The sequence below is a fragment of the Homo sapiens genome, chromosome X (assembly GCF_000001405.40).
Source record: "Homo sapiens chromosome X, GRCh38.p14 Primary Assembly".
Taxonomy (NCBI): Eukaryota; Metazoa; Chordata; class Mammalia; order Primates; family Hominidae; genus Homo; species Homo sapiens.
The window spans coordinates 99,065,777-99,086,519 of record NC_000023.11 but is presented as its reverse complement, the minus strand read 5'-3'; the positions used below and the strand labels follow the sequence as shown (position 1 = coordinate 99,086,519).

Sequence of the window (20,743 nt, the reverse complement as noted above, 5' to 3'; positions counted from 1 at the left end):
CCACTTTAGCCCCTGGTTGCCTCAGACATTCCAAAGCCCAAAGGCCAGAGTGGCTGAGTTGCCCAAATAGCAAAGATGGTGGACCACCCCTCCACTTAGGAGCTCCATCTCAGGAAGACCTGAAACCTCTGTCAGTCAAAGATCACTGATGAGGGTGGCCAGAGATGCTGGTTGGGAGGCTCCACCCAGTGATGGGGAATGTGGTCAGGGACCTGGTTTAAAAATGTGGCAGTCTGGCCACATTTTCTGTAGGGCTGCTGTGCTGTGCATGTGTACCACTTCCACCCCTGTTTGGCTTGGGCTTCCCAAAGCCCAAAGGCTGGAACTGCTAAGTCATCCAAACAGTAAAGATAGCTGTCTGCCCCTGTGTCTGGGAGTTCCATCCCAGGGAGTTTTCAAATCTCTGCAGGCTGAACAACACTGGCAGGGGTGGCTGGAGGCCCTCATTTGGAGGTCCCACTCAGTGAGGAGGAAGAGACCAGAGACTGACTTAAAGCAGTAGTTTGGCCATGTTTTGGTAGACCAGCTATGCTGCACTGGGGAATTCCTTCCACCTCTGGTTGGTTTGGATTCTCCAAAGCCCACAGACTGGACTGGTTTAAATGCACAAACCACAAAAATGACAGCCTGCCCCTTCTCATGGGAGCTCCAGCCCAGGTAGTTGCAACATTGCTATAGGTGGCTGGCTGGAATTCTAAGCCAGTGAGTCTTATTCTGTGAGGTTTCATGGAAGTGGGGCCTACAGACCATTGCTAGGTGACCCCCTAGATTCAGCCTCTTTCCTAGGGATATGCATGGGGGTCTAATGTCCCACTTTGCTGGAGTTGCAGTTATATTCGACAGGAAGCCCAGAGATGGAGTATCTAAAGCTCCCAGGTCTCTGCACATGCCTGAGTGGCTGTTCTGCTGAGATTTCTCATAGCTTTGTGTGTCAGACTGAAGGAGTAAGTTCATGAGGGGATCTCTTGACTCAAGAGTTGCAAAGATCTGTGGGAGAACCATGGTTTCCCAGGGTTGCACATTTACTCACTGCTCCCCTGGGTAGGGAAGGTTCTCTTGGCTCTGTGTCACTCCTGGGTGAGCCATTGTCCTGCCTTGCTTTTGTCCATTCTCTGTGGGTTGCATTGTTTTCTTGATTGGTCCCAATGCCAGTACATTCTCCTCAATTGGTCCCCAATGCCAGTAACTGGTTGTTTCTGTTGAAGTTGCTGTTTTTACTTACCCCTTCCATTCCTCTCCGTGAGAGCGACACAACCTAGCTTCTTCTAGTCGGCCATCTTGGCCACTCCCTAATTATATCATTTCTAATCTGTTAAATGTCACATGCTACTGCTCTACTTTTAGTTAATAGTCCATGTTTATCTAAAAGTAAAAGTATAATATTCTTTATGAATTTATAAAACCCACCTTTATCAGAATAATGAAAATCATATTTTTTCCTTCACAAAGCAATTCCAAAATTTATTCAGAATTTGTTTTACAATGTTTTTTCAAATGAGAATAATGTAACACATGTAGGTGAAGATGCTTGTCCAAGGTCATAAGAAGAATCTTGCATGAGGCTAAAACCCATAGTCTCAGTTATTATGTGTGTGTATATATGTATGTGTTTCCTCACTGAGCCACATTGACTCTTATTTGAGGCTAAAAAAGGAAAATGTTTATGCAGAAATATGTGTGAAAGTTACAGAAGAAAGATTTTAATCAAAATTATGTATTTCATCTCTCTCCACTTCCGTTACCCAGCTGGTATCCAAGTCCTTCCTCATTCCCCTGTTTGGGATAGGAACAGCTGCTTGTGATGACATAGGCAGTCTTCTCCAGCCTTCTGCTTCAGGCAGCAGTTTACGCCTTTCTCTTTGAAATTAGCTGGAACCATTTTAAGCATTTTCCTGTTTCCTCTAGGCACATGCAATACCAGGATAAGAATTAAAGCATCTGTCCTTCTAAAGATTATGTGAAGTTTTTACAATGTTTCTTGATTATTTGAGGGCCAGCAAATTAAGTAGGTAAGAAAAGTTTGTAACTGGATTAAATCAAGACAGAAAAACGAATGGAAAATGGTCAATGGTCAATATTTGGAGTGTAGAGGAGGAGAAGAGCATTTGGAGAGAGGCAGGGATATTTCATATAAAAGATTTTTCCCCATAGAGAGGAAAACACCAGGTATCTAAAGGATTTAATTTAGTGGTAATAGACACCACTAAGAGAGCATCCCTTTGCTGCATTGGTGAAATAATCTGGTATGCTCTGGATGTACTTGCTGCATGAATTCCCCTGAGAACCTTTTTCCCACTTAGCCCCTTAGAACCCATTCTAATGGAATCTTCCCCCTTCTAGCCAGCCTGCCCTGCTTCCTACCTTTCTCCCCTCAAAAAAAGCCTATTCTCCTCCTCCATTGCTGATGTTCTTGTGATTTTTGGAAAGGCAGAGATTTTGGAAGTTTCCTCAGGGAGAATTAATTTGGCTGGCGATGGACAATTAAGGAAAAAAGGAAGGACATGGACAAAATATTATAAAGAGGATTATGGTAATGTCAGAGAAGATAAAACACAAGGCTCCTACAGAGTACAGAAAGGAATTCCAAGAGTATAGAAGAATAGAATATTCTATCCAGAAAATAGAAGAATAAAAAGCCTTTCAACACACACACACACACACACACACACACACACACACACACACACAGTTACCAAGTTAAAAACTGATGCTTTGGGGTGGTGGAAATCTAGATTTAGTCATTTACTACTTCTGGGAAGCTATATAATATATACTAACTCTAAAAAATAATAATACAGCTTCTTTTGGCAATGCGATAAAGTCTCTGAATACTGTAAGCCTGGGCCACTTTATGAAGTAGGTGATGCCATTTGCACTTTCTCATTTAACCTACAAGTGCTCATTTTCTATCAAAATCTACGAGTGTTCTGTGTCCTATTCTTCAGTTATTCTCCATTATAATGCTACAGGGGAATATTGTACACTTTAAAAATTCCTGTTCAACATTGAAAAGCCAGGTGCTCCATGAAGTCTTCCTTAACCTCTCCCTTCACAGACGAGATTATTATCTCCCTATTCTGAGCTCTTAAACAAGTTCTGAATATCTATTATTGTACTAAATTCACTGTACTGTGATTATTTGCCAGCTTTTTGTCTCTTCCACTGGATTGTGTGCTGTTTGGCAGCAAAAGTCCTGTTTGTTTGTTTCTTCGTTTATTGTAACCCTAAGACCGATGGCTGCACCTGAAAAACAGTAGTAACTTGGTAATTGTTTAAAGAAAGTATTGTTCATTTTTATTATTATTACTTATGTTTTGTGTTTTCTCTTTCTTCGGTTCTCCCCAAGATGCTATAGCCTAAGGACTCTGATCTTGTCAAATGTGCATCTGCTTCTATGTAGTCTTTGTTCCTGTTAAAATGCACTTTATCTGAAAACATCTAAGAATTCTTTCTCTCTTCTTTCTGTTATACTCTATTCTTTTTTAACATCTAATTTTCCAAATCACTAGGTATATTACACCAACTACTTGATCGCTAAATGTGTTTTTGCTATGACAAATGATAATGCCACTCCTCTCTTTTATTGTGTATTTATGTCTCACATTATAGTCCAAGGATTAAAGAGTGAATACGTATTGTAGATAGACCTGCTGTGACAATATTTTAGCTGCATTGATTTCTGTCATGTGAATTCCAAAAGAAACATCTAATAGGATATGTCATTAAATATTTTTACTACACTGAAGAAAATGAAAACATAAGACTATCCTCTGATTAAAGGATAAGTGAACTGATTTGCATTCTAGAAGGTAAAGGGGAAAAGGTACTTTTTTAGAAATCACTATCATCACCAACTCTTTCTTACAGCACTGCTTATTGTGAAGTACAGAAATTTCTGGTCTTTAATTTTTGGTGCTACTATTCTATTTATGCCTGTGCTCTTTAATTTCAAAGTGTATGGAAATTCCCAGAAAGACTATGCTTCAAATTCCTATAGTTCTTGGTAATGGTAAAACCTTGGATGGGCAGGCAACCAGGGAAGGCCCTGAGCTACATTACCAAGTAGATGACACCGTTTGCACCTTTCCATATCTGTTGTGAGTGTTCACTACTCTCATACTCTAGGGGTGTTCTGTGTCCTATTATTTCAGGGCATAGCCATCAAATAATCCTCTTAATTATGGTGCTGGAGGATAATGTCCTAAGAAGTGTTTCTCACAGTGAGATCTGCTGATACTTTGCATCAGAATTATCTCTAAGGTTATTGTTAAAATGGAACTCCCTGGTTCTAACCCAAGAATTTCTAAAGCAGAAGATCTGAGAATGTGGTACAGAATCTGCCTTTGTAATGAGCTCCAGGAAATCTTAATTCAAAATACAGTCTGTGAACTACAGTCATATGGTATTCTCTTTCCCTAGGTAATAAGGACCTAAGGGAGCCAACCCCTATGATAGATTTACAGATAACATGGCCCAAAATGGGGAACTAAATATTTTATGGAAGTAGATTATCTCAAAAAATTATTTAATCATCTGTGACATTTCATCCATATGACAATCAAAGTACTATGTTAGGCATACAAATTATACTTGCTCATAATACTTAAATGTATACCCTCTTACCCCTAAAGAGGCCAAGCTGATAAATGTGCTCTAATATGCAGATTAAAGAGTTTTAATGTAATAATATAATTGTGGCTGTGATTAATGACTAGTCTTACTATCCAATTACTTCCAGAAAAGGTGGCTTAAGATCCACTATTGCAAAAGTCATAATTCTTGGTAGGCATTTTGCAATATTTGACTAGTATATTGATAATCACCCTACACAACTGGCAGATTTCTTCAGTCAACTAGGATTATGTTTTTCAAGCAGCTAGTCATAGAGAGGTCACTAGAGAATTACATTGCTTGAGTTTTATGAGTGTTTTTAATGAGTTTTATTTTAAAGATAAGTAGGATATTTGATTATATTCTGTTAAAAATAATCTGAGTTAAAAATTATGAGGAAATACATTATGATACAAAACTCTGGGAACTTGAATTCTTGTTCATTTATGAGATGAAGCTGACTTTAACTATTTGGGGGATAAATCTTGCTCCTTTCTGCGGGTAGTCTCTTGGCTCATTTTCATAAATAAATTCAGTGAACACCTCCTTAGGTAAGTGTCCTCAATGTTACTGAGAAGGCATAAACTCAATCTTATTTCAGTTTTTGTTTGTTTGTTTGTTTTCTCAAGATGAGTCTTGCTCTGTTGCCCAGGCTGCAGTGCAGTGGCATGATCTCGGCTCACTGCCACCTCTGCCTCCCAGGTTCAAGCAATTCTCCTGCCTCAGCCTCCTGAGTAGCTAAGATTACAGCCACCTGCCACCACGCCTGGCTATTTTTTGTATGTTTAGTAGAGATGGGGTTTCACCATGTTGGCCAGGCTGGTCTCGAACCCCTGACCTCGTGATCCGCTTATTAAAGTACATCTGTCTGCACCTAAGAAGCAATATAGATTAGCTGCACTCCCAGATTTGACAAAGAGTATTACTTAAAAGTCTGCCACAAAATACATATCAAAATTTAGGTGAGAGATTATCTCTGGAAGATTACCTGAAATACCTAAAGAAAATTTATTCCTCTAGATAATCTTCAATTTGACTTTGGTTTAAGCCAGACCTAGCTTGCCGCATGACACACCTCATCTGGTCCTAAACACATGTAAAATTTCTTTAATGGCACTAAGATTAGTCATAATGGCATAATACCATTGACATACATTGACCGATATTGTAAAACAGCCTTAAGATGTTGGTTGTTTTCTATAAAGTTGTTGAAGATATTATTGACTACATTATATACTTCAAGTTGTTGAAGATATTATTGACTACAATATACAAGGAATTGCAATAGAAATTTCTCTCTGGTTGTGTTTCTGAAAATAATTTTAATTCTCTTGAACATTTAAAAAAATTATGTGCTGCAGCTAATGTTACATGTTACATTTCATTCTGTACCTCATAGCACGTAATTTTTTTGATATTCACCTTTGGATTAATCTTATTTTACTAACCTTTCTAATTCTTCACCATGATTTTTTCATTTACTTAATGAAAATCTTATTGCACTGCTCATATTTGTGCATACCTTCTTACATATATTTGGCAGAAAAGCAGCATATAAACAAACATGATAATCATAAAGCTGAGCCCAGAGATGAGCAACTTTTTTTATAATGGTACTGAAATTTCTTGGTGTTCAGAAAAAGGCTGAGACCGGTCCACCATAACATAAACTCTCCAGGCATGTAAATAGACCAAACGTGAAGAAGTACTATATTTATTTCTAGGAAGGGCCTTCTTAAATACCAAAGACTATGCCAAAGATTACTGTACTATCTATATTTATATAAAAGATTTGTAGACTAGAAATGAAATTTAACTAAGAAATTTCTTGTCTGCTATATCTCCTGAGAAAATTACTTGAGCAGGCCACTTCTGTGGATGGATTATGGTTCTTGTGTATAAAATTGAATGGTTCAATTTTCTAACATTTATGTTTTGGACATATTTGAAACTTATCCTAAGTGTAATTTGTTATCAAAGTCTAGTCAATAATATTCTTAAATGAGTCCTATTAACTTTTGGTGAGGAAATAACTGCTTTCTCTGAAGCCCCCTTTTGAATAGCAGAATGGCTTATTGAGTTTTCTGATATAAGACAAAAAAAAAAAACTGACATAAGACAGAAAATCACTACCCAATCATTATCACAAAAGGGAAAATGATTCCCAACAGTGACCTGGTGTGGAGACATAAGCATGACAAGGACTATATTAGGACTGAAACTCCTGCAACTCTCCTTCTTTGTCTCAGTGTGAGATCAAGTTTGTTATAGATATGGGGTGCCTAATGTTTTATAAGTTGGTATATATACTCCTGGAAAGATCTTTACCCATTGCTTATCATTAGATCATGTATTTCCTCTAGCAATATGGAGAAATATCTTTTCAATTTTTTTTCAAACATTGCATCTCACCAATATGAATACTGGCAGCCATCCAGTAATAGCCATAGTATACAACTGAGACTAAAAAAGGAGTAATACATGTGCATGTGTGTGTCGGGGGGGTACATTCTTTCTGATTCTATTTGATTTTATCTTAAGGGAAACACCCATCCAAAGACACATGTGGAATTTTAAACTGTGGAAATGCATGAGCTTATTTGGAGCAAAAGTATTAAAACAAGCAGGCAGCACATGACTGAGCCTTTTCAATCTGCTTGCCTTTATGCTAACCCCCAGCCTGACATACACTTTTTAATGAGAAATAAGCATATTTTGCTTTTGTCACAGATCAAATATCTAAGATAGAGTAAAACTGATTTCTTTGTTATTCTAAAGATATAAGATAGGGAATGATCCTGTGGAAATGTCACTTATGGCTCATCCAAGAGAAACAGGCTGTCTTTAGGCACTATTCTTGAGGTATACTGCTTACCTAGATGGGCTCCTTAGGGTACTAGAATCTAGGGTGCCCCTATCAGTTGAGTCTACCTGATTCAGTTATTCTTTTTTTCACCAAAATCTCTTTAACTGAGAATTTTACAAAAATAGCAACAAGGACTTTTTGTAATAACAATAGAAGACACACAATTAAATTAGCTATACATAATTTATTAGCCATTAATAAATTGTATTATTACCTTAGGTAGTGTTGTAGTCCTGCCAATGCACCAAAATGTAGTAGTCTCTCATTTTCTGAGATAGTACCCAGAGTTCTTTGTCTCACATCCAAGAGAATTAAGGAGCATGGACACAAGAGTGAGGCTGGAGTGAAAGTTTAATAAGCAAAAAAAGAAAGCTCTCTGCAGCTGAGGTGCCGGTGGCAGGGGGGTGCTGAATGTGTTGCCCACTATGAGGCTAGAGTCTGCGGTTTTTATGAACTGGGAAGGGGGAGGAATGTGCTTAGTCTGTGGCCTGTCTTGGAGAAACTGTGACTCAGCTTGGTCCGGGACCTTGACCTGGGACTAATCAGGGAAACTGTGACTCAGCTTGGTCCGGGACCTTGACCTGGGACTAATCAGGAGATGAAGTGATGATTCACAGGGGCTGCTCAGCTTGGCCCAGGACCTATTAGGAGCTGAAGTGAAAGCTTGACCTAGGACCTGAAATGAAATGAAGTTACATATTTTTCTTAACTATGAATGTAAGCCTGACTAGATGCACCATATATACACTAGTGAGAATAAAGTTTTACAGAAACATACTATCAAGGACTTTAAAAGTTATGCAGAGAGGTTTGGGTCAACCATTTGGAAAAAAAAAATTTCGATTGCAGCACTATTCACAATAGCCAAGACTTGGAACCAACCCAAATGTCCATCAGTGATAGACTGGATTAAGAAAATGTGGCACATATATACCATGGAATACTATGCAGCCATAAAAAAGGATGAGTTCATGTACTTTGTAGAGACATGGATGAAGCTGGAAACCATCATTCTGAGCAAACTATCACAAGGACAGAAAACCAAACACCACATGTTCTCACTCATAGGTGGGAATTGAACAATGAGAACACTTGGACACAGGGTGGGGAACATCAAACACTGGGGCCTGTCACGGGGTGGGGGTATGGGGGAGGGTAGCCTTAGGAGAAATACCTAATGTAAATGACGAGTTGATGGGTGCAGCAAACCAACATGGCGCATGTATACATATGTAACAAACCTGACGTTGTTCACATGTACCCTAGAACTTAAAGTATAATAATAAAAAAAACTATTTGAGCATTAAAAAAAAATTTTTTTTTTGAGTGGGGGAATGTCATGGTGAACAGCAGAGTTTTAGAAAATTCTGTCTACCAGTGAGATATAGGATGAATAGTAGAGGACACTGTTTAATGGAAACAGTGGTGGGGAAAGTTTAGTCAGAGAAGGAAGATAAATTCTTTTTTTGTAATCCAGGCATAAGATAGCAAGACTCTGGATTAAAGAGTTAGTGGAAATAAAGAAAAAAATTTCAGGAAAAAAAAAATAAAGAAAAAAATCAACAGAAATTGTTAAATAACCTCAGTAGGAAAGATGAAATAGAGGCAGAGTTAGGTCATGGTTCTGAGTCTTAGTAACGAATAGGATATCAGTTGTACCTCTGACAGACAGGGATGTCAGGAAGGCACTCTATTAATTATTCTAGTAAATTTTCTACTGGTGAGATAGAGCCAGGTACTATTTTCCCTGTGTCTGATTCTCAAACATTGCCTCCTGAGTTGGCTTTTTGGAACTGCAGCTTTCTAAGCTTTATTGCACGGGATTTGGAAACTTGAGCCTAGAGATGGAAGGCGCATCCTGCACTGCAAATGCAGAAATTCACAAAGCTGGAAATATGTCTTAAGGAACACATCCCATGACTGTGTACCATGCCATACTGCTGAGATACTTTAAATATATTCTCAATGGACAATATTTGGCTCAAATTGCCAATTAAAGCTGTGCACTCAGCTAAAGTAGACTTAACTTTTATACTTTTCCTTTTGGATTTTTGACACATTTCACTGTTTTCTTTAGTCTGTTCACTGGCACATGCATCCTTTTAGGATTAATTTTCCCCCATGAGTTGCAAGGGGGACCCACTATTTATTCCTAGAAGAAAAAAAGGCTTTGATAAATAGTATCACCCATGTGGTTTCATTTCTAGCCATACAATGAGTGAGGTTGGTTCATTTATAAAATAGGCTATTAGAATGTGTTTCATACGTAAACTGGGGAATAGATGACTCTGGACAAAAGGCTTTGAAAACTGCCTCTCCATTCTACAGACTCTTAGAATGAGAAATTCTCCCATGGGTAAGCTGTCCTCTGCTCTTCTCTACCTCTAAACTTCTTTGGTACATCATCCGTAATGCTTGTTGAACTGTATGTCTAACCAACACATGGGGCTACTGATTTATATTCTATGTAAGATAGATAATTTTTGTGTCAGCTACTGATTGCAAAAGAACTTTAAATTAATAATAAATACAGAAATATTACAGAGAACAACATAATGTTGTATATATCTAGATTACTCCTATGAATGTAATGGAAGGCATGACTTGAGGCCTCTGCAAGCATTGGCTTGGGATTAAGAACTATTTGTTCAAAACTGATAAAGTTATTTCACTTATTTTTTTCAAAAGCTACTTAAACAGATACAAATAAGATGAAAAGCCTATATTTAAAAGTGTTCCTGCCTATATTACTAGGGCAGGTGTACTTTAAATCAAAATAACTTGTGACTATTTTGTTCTCTTTTGGGGTTGAATAATGAAATGAGATTAATTATTCATTTTACTTTTTCTTTTTAGATTTCAGGGTCCATTTAGTATGATGCCATTACATTTTTGTCTCTCCATACTGACCCACACTGACTTGTTGAGCTTTAAGAATAAACTATCATGAAAAGATTTTTATTCACTTATATAACCTATTCTGTACTTGCTTACAGTTCAGAGTCCCCATTCAAACTAATGGATGTAGGTACCTAAGACAAAGAAAGAAAGGAGCTCAGTAGAATTGGTAAATCTCTCCTTTGAGAATAAAATTTGATTCAATAAGTCATGTTCTATACGTTGAAACTGGGAAAATGTCTTGCTGAGAAAGTAGGAAGAAAATGTTATCATCCTCACAGATCTTAGCTAGGGTCTGTAAATCTTCTGTTTTGGGTGGTCTGTAGTTGAAACAGATTTTTTAGGATTTATTCTCATTCTGCCTGTTTGTGAGGGTCTCTCACTTGGAAGTCTGGTCTACTCTTATTTAAAAATTTCTCTTTTACCAAGGGGAAGAATGAAGTCTTTGTTAAAGAAGCATAAAGTGAGAAAAATGTGACATTTAGTTCCCCAACACGTAAGGGGATGAAAACTAAGCTTATTGCCAAGAAATACATTTGGAATGCATTTCTCCTCTAGTGATGTTTATCAAGTGCTCATATATACATGGCGCCATGCTAAGTACTATACAATACAAATTAAATAGATGTGGTCCCTGCTTCTGCCAGTTTACATCTTCCTTCAATTCAGATGCTATAGCAGAGTGCTTAAAACAGCAAAATCAGATCATGAAGTTCTATCTGTCTCCCTCAAGGATTGGTAATTGAGATTTCTCTTTACATGCTGGACTGGGCAGGAGACACTGGAGAAGTGCTAAGTGCACTCTTTGTGCCTTTCTTCTGCTAACTAGTTGCAAAAGTATCTAAGCATCTGAAGCTTGAACTAGAAATTCTATACATTGTTTCTGGTTAGCATCAGCAGCTAAGAGAAGTCCTTCATTTATTTCCATAGGTTTTTGGGGAACAGGTGGTGTTTGGTTACATGAGTAAGTTCTTTAGTGGTGATTTGTAAGATTTTGGTGCACCCATCACCCAAGCAGCATACACTATACCCAATTTGTAGTTTTTTATCCCTCACACCCTTCCTACCCTTTCTCCTAAGTCCCCAAAGTCCGTTGTATCATTCTTATGCCTTGGCATCCTCATAGCTTAGATCCCACTTACGAATGAGAACATACGCTGTTTGGTTTTCCATTCCTGAGTTACTCCACTTAGAGTAATGATCTCCAATTCCATCCAGGTTGCAGCGAATGCCATTATTTCTTTTTATGGCTGAATAGTGTTCCATGGTATATATAGATACCACAATTTCTTTATCCACTCATTGATTGATGGGCATTTGGGCTAGTTCCATATTTTTGCAATTGCTAATTGTGTTGCTATAAACATACATGTGCAAGTACCTTTTTCATATAATGATTTCTTTTCCTCTGGGTAGATACCAAGTAGTGAGATTGCTGGATCAAATGGTAGTTCTATTTTTATTTGTTTAAGAAATTTCCACACTGTTTTCCACAGTGGTTGTACTATTTTACATTCCCACCAGCAGTGTTCCCTTTTCAGCATATGCAATACCATCTTAGTCCTGAAAGAATTGCCATAATCAAAAAATAAGAGAAGTACATTTTTGTGGAGGCCTAGGGCTGATTGCCTGAAAAGGCAGCTTCACCCTGTGTGTATAACCCCACAATCTTTGAAGCAAATTTCTTCACCTCTATTAAAACCCAAGTGATAAACATAGATAGGCTCTTTGCTACTCACAGTTACAGACTTATGAGTCTTTTAGAAACATTATTAAATTACTTTAAGTGGTCATGAGGTATTGTACGATGGGAAGAGCTCAGACTAAAAGTTAGAAGGACTGGATTTTATTCTTGGCTCAGACCCTAAATAGCTAGTTAATTAGAACAAGTGGTTTCACATTTGGACTTTAGTATTGTCTCAAAATTAAGAAACTGGAGTTAAATACTTTTCAGTTTTAATATTCCATAGGATTACATGTGAAGTAACCACCATATGGGACTTGTCAGTGATCAGAGGGTCAGTAAAAGGAAAGGAAATGTCTGTTTCTTTGTTCTATCTTATATTATCAATGTCTTCATAATTTACTCTACAGTATAGGATATAACCACTTTTGAAGTCAAATATTGCAGAAATCAACTAGTGAGATGATTAAAATTGGGAACAATAGCCTAGAAGCCAAATAGAAAGAAGTAATTGCTTCAAGGATAATAACTGAAGATACGACTGATTAAATAGGATCTAATTTTACATTCTGATCAAGTAACATAGTTCCAAATGCAAAAAATGGGTGTTGGGATATCTGCCCAAAATCATTAGAAGTGCATTTTGTTTTGCTTTCAGATGGAGGAGAGAGACATATGACCTAATTTTCTCCTTCTTTTTGGATGTCATGGTAAATGGAAAATGGAAAGAGTCCAGCTGGAAGACTTCCACTAAATATTGAAAGAAAGCAACATGCTTAAGATAAGGGTATATGGAGTAGTCTACTCAAAGAATAAAGTAATATATTGTCTTCCTTTTTGCTTTAGCAGAGCAAATATTTTTGAATCCCATGTGTGAGGAAAGAAACACAATAGAGGGGTTAAATCTTTAGTAAAATCTATTTTCCCCTTTAGAAACTTTGGCTTTCCCAGCAGATGTCTCCACAATGTTTATGTTTATTTTTTCCATCATTGGTTAAAAATATAATCAAACGGTGTCAGAGCTGGGAAAAAACCTTAGCGATCAGAGAGTCCAAACTATTTTCCAGATGAGGATGTCCTATCTACAGAATTGACTTACCCAGGTTCTTTCGGTTTTTGTTAGCAGAGATAAGGTTAGAAAATAACATGAAATGTGAAAAATGACAAAGAGAGAGGGAAGTAGAATGAAACATGAGGAAACAAAGGGAAATTGTGAATCAGAAAAAAAAACTTAATATGTACAAATTTGAAAATCTGAGACAGGGCTCAACAAACTGCAATCTACTAACCAAATTCAGCCTGTAGCTTGTTTTTGTACAGCCCTTGAGCTACAAACAGTTTATAAATTTTTAAAGAGTTGTTTAAAAAAATGTGACAAAGACCATACATGGCCCACAAAATCTAAAATATTTACTATCTGGCCTTCTACATAAAACATTTGTAGATCCCAGATTAAAACACGACACTGAGACCACACACATAGTATAGCTAAGCAAAATCAAAATGACTTTCAGAAAAATCTGACAGTGACTGAATTCATCCAGGAACAATTTGCTTTATCCACTTTCCATTCCAATCAACTATATACAATTCTCTGACCACAGAGACCAAAAGAAGAGATTCTTTTTTCAGAAACCACCGGGATATTTTTCTCAGGAAAAGTGTATAATGTTTAGAGTAGGTCTAAGGGTCAGAAAACAAATTACAAACTCTTTGTTCTCCTTCCCTCTTGTAATCTTCAGTTTCACATTTTGAAGCCTTTCTAGGTTCCACTGTGTTTATTTTCTTCTTCTTTATCTCTGACGAAACTGTAATTATGTTGAACCATATGAAATTGCCGATATTAAACCAGTTTAGACTTAAAAAATGGTAGTCTCTCGTGGTTCAAGTTAATATTTAGCATTCTGGTCACTTTCTCTTAGAATTTTGCCTCTTGTTTTGCTATATTTTGCCTTATTAGTGATTCTTTTATTTGAGCTTATCCAGCTCCCCATTTGTCTAGAGCTTCTTTATATAATACGGGTTTGATTTCTAAGTTTACAGACTACCCTTTGCAGTATCTTAGTTGACTGAAGCTACTGCTAATGTTTTATTTAAAGTGTACTGACCTAACCTTCATTATCTACAGGCATACACACAGTCATAGTAAATTCAGTTTACTGGTGAATAAATGGCTTCCATTGTCAATTTTGGATCATCTTATGCCATGCAACTGCATAGTCCACCTGAAAAAGCACACAACTTATTTTTTTGAATGAATGTAACCAATTATCAGAAGGTGAAACTATGAAGGAACTGTTAGATATTTTAGCATCAAAATTGTAGCATCCATGGCTGTATATGGCATTGCCTGATAAACTTAACTGTGAACTTTCATCATTCCCACCTTTGTCTTACTTAAAGTGGTACTCAGCCAAGCTTGCTGAAATGAACCTTGGGGTTAAGAAATGCAGTCATTTAGAACTGAAGAAGCTTTTCTTTTGCCTATAACATTAGGCATCATGGTTCAGCAAGGCAGAGACCACGAGGTCAGGGAGTGTAGATTTCCTCTCACACAAAGAGCTTTGTGAATATCGTTATTGATTATGCCAGTTTATTTAAGCAGAGACATGAGGAAAAGAAATCTAAAAAGTTTAGAGGAAGACTGCTAGTTTACTGCAATAGTTTAAAGCATGCCACTTGGAATTACATCAGTCTGGGTGTGTATCCCAGTTCCTTCTCTTACTAGCTATGGGTACCTTGGGGCGTATTATTTGATCTTTATTTTTTCTTTATAAAATGGACATATCCATGACCCAATTGATTTCTGATGAAAATAATTTGAGGTAGAGTGTGTAAAATAAGCATTCAATAATATATTTTTATTAATGTATGAGTAGAAAGACTACTAATGATAAATTAAAATGTATGATAATGAAATTGATTATCTCCAAATTTATTAAGATCTGAAATGCTACAGAAAAATAAATTAAAGTCGCTAAAATGTTGATAGAAAAAAAGTCAAGAAAATGAAATCAAAGAAGAAATATGTTGCCTAAAGTTCATAGAAACTATAGTGGAAATCCAGTGCTTGAAATAAGCAGGAAGGAAACTGAAATTCTTATACATTTACTTTATTCATTTACTCATTCAATCACTCTTTAAATATATGTTCCTTGAGTACTTGCAATGCTCAAGGGACTGTGATAGCATGGAAAGAACATAATATAAACAAAATTCTGTACACTTAAGAGTGTTATGGTCCGGGGGTTTGTGAATTTCATAAAATCTCGCATAGACTCCTGATCAGAAACAGAAAAAAAGAGGACCATCTCTAGTTAAACAGGAAATGAGGGAACATTAAACCATATACACTTTCCCCCATTCATCTCAGGATGCCCATTGGCACCTCCACTGACCCTAAGTTTTATGAAACACTGCTTGAAAACCACTTATCTAGTCTGTTATAAAGATGATTTGCATAAAATCCCATTTTATGATTCCCTCTTCAGTCTATAACACAGGTACACTTTTAGAAGCATACATTATAGTAGACGCATAATCAAGTAGGCTATTTTCAATCCCTGTATCCATAATTGCATTATTTAACTGTTCCACAAAGTTGCTGTGAAAAACAAGACAAAATAATGGCAAATTTTGATTAGGAAGGGAAAAGGCATCAGGCAAGTTTGAAAAATGTTGGCATGGTCTAGGAGGACAGGTGTAGAAGGACTCCAATGTGGAGAAGCTAGGAGTAGAATGGATGTTCTAGGCAGGAGAGAAATGCAAATAGAGTGAGAAAAGGATATTTAAAGTCTCCCAAATAATTTGCAACCACATAACTTTTCTTCTGGTAACTTCATGAAGAAAGAAAATTTATTTTTTCTTTATTTAATGGCATCACAAAAAAAGAACTCTGAAGTGGCTTATGATGAAATCATGTGTTTGGCTTATTTCATAAAACAAAAATATATTCAAAGGGCATGAAAAGAGCAAACATGAAGAAAAAGAACGCCTTCTTAGATTTGATCAGGTCAGGAAATGGGGAAATGGCAACATCTCAATAAGTAGGGAGAAAGAGCTGGTGGCAGATTATTCCAAGGTTTCTTCAAACTTTTAAAAAGTTCCAACTTTCAGCAGTCAGCTCGTAGAAGCGATTTCTATAATAGATAATATAGGACCATTATAGGCATAATACATACATTAGAGATAAATAATAAATGTATGACTCTGAAGTCTGCTAGACACAGTATTCCTAGATGTCAAAATAAATGGAAAGGGACATGTCACCTTACCATCAAATAGAAGGAAATAAAGCAATATCTGGTGCCTTTTCCCCCATATTCCTAGTGAGCTTTCCCAACACAACTTAGCCACAAACTGATAGATTGAGTGTCGCCTTGCCTCTAAGACTTTGTATATACTCTGTCTAAAACACCATTTCTCTTCTGCCATTACTAACTCTTGCACATCCTTCAAGTCTCAGATTAGGTTTCACTTTCAAAGAATGACGACAATGACAACAGTAACAACAGCAACAAGAAAACATCTTTCACTGGCTGCCTTCATCTCCTGTTGCTCCAAGTCCGTGCTGGTTGCATTTATGTGTTCCTTTTACTATTGCTGTCATGGCACTTACCATAGAGTACAATTGCCTCTTTAATTGTTGCTATCCCTTACTAGAGTATAAACCCATTGAGGATAGAAGCGTATCTGTTTTGATCATACTGTATACTCAGCACACAGAAAGGGACAGTCACACAGTAAATGGAATGAATCAAATGGAAAAAAAATGACAGAGTGAATAAACAAACAGTTCCACATATCAGTGAATCAGTGACTGCAAGGCTACCTTTGTTTATGATATGATTTGAATGGTGGTAGAAGAAATCTCTTCCCTAAAATAATTCTCTCGCCTACTTTGATTAGGATCTGAATTTCCACCATTTGCAATCCAAATTTATTTTACTTATAAAGACCATTTGGCATTTCAATAGCTTTTTAGTGATGGTGCAAATATATCTGGGTGCAAATAATATGTTAACATACCCCATTTCCACCTTAGTAGAGAATATAGCAGCCCTGAACAATGCGCATGCAACATAAAGATTCTAGGGCAACACTAGTAGAACTTTTGTAATAATAGTTCTAGTAGAACTTTTGTAATAATAGTTCTAGTAGAACTTTTGTAATAATAGTAACATGGCTAGTGCATTTGAGGAACTAAGTTTTTACTTTTATTTCAATTTAATTAGTTTTACTTTAAATAGTCCCATGTAGCTAGTCACTACTATACTGCACAGTGCAGTTCTAGAGAGAAAAGAACACCAAAAAGAGGAAAAAGATAAAATACAAAGCAATAAGGAGGACTTCAAGGACTGCTCTGTAATGCTCACAAGTCCATTTCTGGTTCAGGGGCAATTTGAGTTGGATAGATAATACATGTCAACAACAAAGTCTGAAAGGAACGAAAGATCTGGAAGTTAGATAAGCCACAAAACATGTATCTGGCATTGTGAATGAAGAATACTATTATCTCAACATTCTGGTATTCAAGAAGCCATTTAAATTGGTCAAATCCAGGAAGAATCACTACATTTTCTCAAAGACTGGAATTTCAACATAGTGCCCACAAACCTAAATCTTCTTCATGTCATTCGGTTAACGTTAATTAAAGTTAGAATCTCAAGTGTATAGCACATGCTTTCTTTCAAATTTAATCTATCTTTCTACTTGTCCTTGTTTTTAGCATTTTTAATGTTGTTGATTCATTGCATGCTGACATTTTTCATAATGCTTAATGGTACATGATGACTTTGCAACCAGAAACACAGACCATTTAGAAGGCATTCAATGAATGGAACAGTCACCAGAATGAATAAAAGCACTGGTTTATTCCTAAGTTTAAAATAAATCTTTCATGTGTGCAAATAACTTTACTTTTCACTATTGGTGCAAAAACTTCAGATAAATATGCAAATTGTGGTGTTCTTTGACTTTCTGTAATTTGGCATCATTGCATGTGTTTAATGCCCATAATTTATGACTGTGTAAATGCTCATAAAATATGCCATTTCTTCTGGCTGCCAAATATATAGTTGAAAAATGTAAAGTTATCAAAGTTAAAAGTGATAATGAATTTAAATAGTATAAACTGAAACAAAGGTTATTCCTACAATGATACGTTTAAGGGACTAGTATTAGCATTTATTTAGCTGCTTCTGATAAATAACATTTTTACATAAATATCAGGGTAGTTTTCTTGCTCTGCCTAGATAATCATCACAAATTTGTCCAACCAATGTTGAAATACCAATTGATTTAATGACTCCAGTCAAATAACAAGTCAGTTAAATGGGGAAAGAAAACATCTTTAAGCCAATAATTTTACAGTAATGATGGAATAGTTGAATTGACCAGTTGAATCAGAGATGTTGCTCTAAAAGCACAAGATAGAGTCGATCTAGTGTAATGCTTTCTGATAAAATAAAACAAGGCTAACATTGAACCATTTTTATTTGTGACCATACATACATATGTGTGTATATATAATATATATATATAACATATGTCAATTGCATTAAAATCTGACATGTTATTGAGACCACATCAGGTGAAAATTAATGCAGTTCTATGAATTTAAATCTGTGATTGTTCATGTGACAATGAAGCATTGTAGGTTTAGGATTTTTGATCATATACTTTTGTCAAATCAATCAGCATGGCCTTCTGTCTTAGTGCAAATCAGCTGAAAATCCAGAAATATTTGCTTTTTCTGCCATGCTAACATGCTGATGAATTGAGCTGCTTGGTTTATAAAATACTGTGTTTGGACAACTTTTCAGATTTCTCTTGTCTCTGGGGCTGTGTAGATGCAGGATAAATTTAAATAGGGTGAGACAAAGAATGAAAATGAGCATCTACCTAAGTCATAATCTAAATCCACTTTCAAAGTTCAAAGTAATTCTCTGGAGAATCACTTATTTGCCAAGTTCAATTCACTAGTATCCATCTCCATGACCTGCAAGCATGGTGAAGCTCATATTTACAGGTTACATTAGGTTATCATGTGTCTCCTAGTGAGGCAAGGAAATGAAATATTGACCATAGATCCTTCAGCTACTGTATAAACCAGTACATTGGGAAGAGAAACCATAACGGTCTCATTAGACTATTTGTAACCACTATATGCCAAGGTAAATTCTTGGAGAAAACATATCCTAGTGACCAGAAAATGACATAAATTCCAACCTGACCTCAAATCGCATTGTCCACTCAATAGCTATAGGATTTGGTCAAGTTACTTATCTTCATTATTTATTTAATTTTTAATTTCTGCCTATCTTTTTCCCAGCTTTTTTGAGGTATAATTAACATATAAAAAAACTTCACATAATTTGATGAGTTTGAACATATGTATACACTCTTCTTACCATCACCACAATCAAGGTAATATACATATCCATCATCTCCAAAATTTTCTTGTGTTTCTTTGGGTTCTGTTTGTTTGGTGCGTGTGTGTGTGTGGGGGGTGGGGGTGAGTGTGTGTGTGGTTGTGTGTGTGTGTGTTAAATATACTTACCATGAGTTCTATCCTTTTAACAAATGTTTAATTGCACAAGCCTTATTTTTAACTATAAGCACTATGTTTTACAGAAGACTTCCGGAACTTACTCATCTTATATAACTAACTTTTGCCCATTGAACAACAACTCCTCCTATTTCCATCCCTCATCTCCTCTTAGCCATCATTCTATTTTCTCCTTCTATGCATTTGATATTTTAGATGCCTCATATAAAATGAAGCATGTAGTATTTATCCTTCTGTTGCTGACATTTCACTTAGCATAATCTTCCAGGTCCAGCCATGTTGTCACAAATAGTAGGATTTCCTTCATTTCCTTCTATGTATACACAATGTTCCTTGTATGTAGATACTACGTTTTCTTTATCCATTCATCTATCCATGGGTATTTAAGTTGTTTCCATATCTTAGCTGTTGTGAATAGTGCTGCTATGAACATGGGAGTGCAGATATCCCTTTGACATACAAATTTCAATTGTTTTAGATATATAGCCAGAAGTGAGATTGCTGGGTCATATGTTAGTTCTATTTGTAATTTTTTGAGAAAACTGTATACTCTTATCCATAGTGGCTGCATCATTTTACATTTCTACCAACAGTGTACAAGGATTCCAATTTTTTCAAAACCTCCCAGCACTTGTTATTTTTTGTTTTGTTTGTTTGTTTGCATTTTGGGGGTTATTTTGATAATGGCTATCATAACAGGTGTGAGATGACATCTCATTGTGGTTTTGATTTGCATTTCCTCAATGATTAGCATTGAACATCTTTTTGTATGTCTGTTGGCCGTTTGTATATTTTCTTTAGAGAAATGTCTATTCAGGTACTTCACAATTGTACAAAATCTGATTATTAGGTGTTTTTGTTTTTATTTATTTGTTTACTACTGAGTTTTATGCCTGTGTTTTTGTGTGTGTGTGTGCCATAATCAAGAACTCCTTGCTGAGACCAATGCCAATAAGCTTTTCCCTAATGTTTTCTTTCAGGAGTTTTATGGTTCCAGAACTTACATTTAAGTATTTAATGCATTTTGGGTTAATTTTTGTGTATGGTGTAAGATAAGGGTCTAATTTCATTCTTTTAGGTGTAGATATCCAGTTTTTCCAATACCATTTATTGA

General features: G+C 36.2%; 1 annotated feature.

Moving 5' to 3' along the window:
- Nucleotides 869-1,376: an enhancer, noted in NCBI's record as "NANOG hESC enhancer chrX:98340142-98340649 (GRCh37/hg19 assembly coordinates)". NCBI's record gives its function as "activates a minimal SCP1, AML or CMV promoter by ChIP-STARR-seq in naive H9 embryonic stem cells {active_cell/tissue: H9 hESC(naive)}" and the evidence as "EXISTENCE:reporter gene assay evidence [ECO:0000049][PMID:30033119]".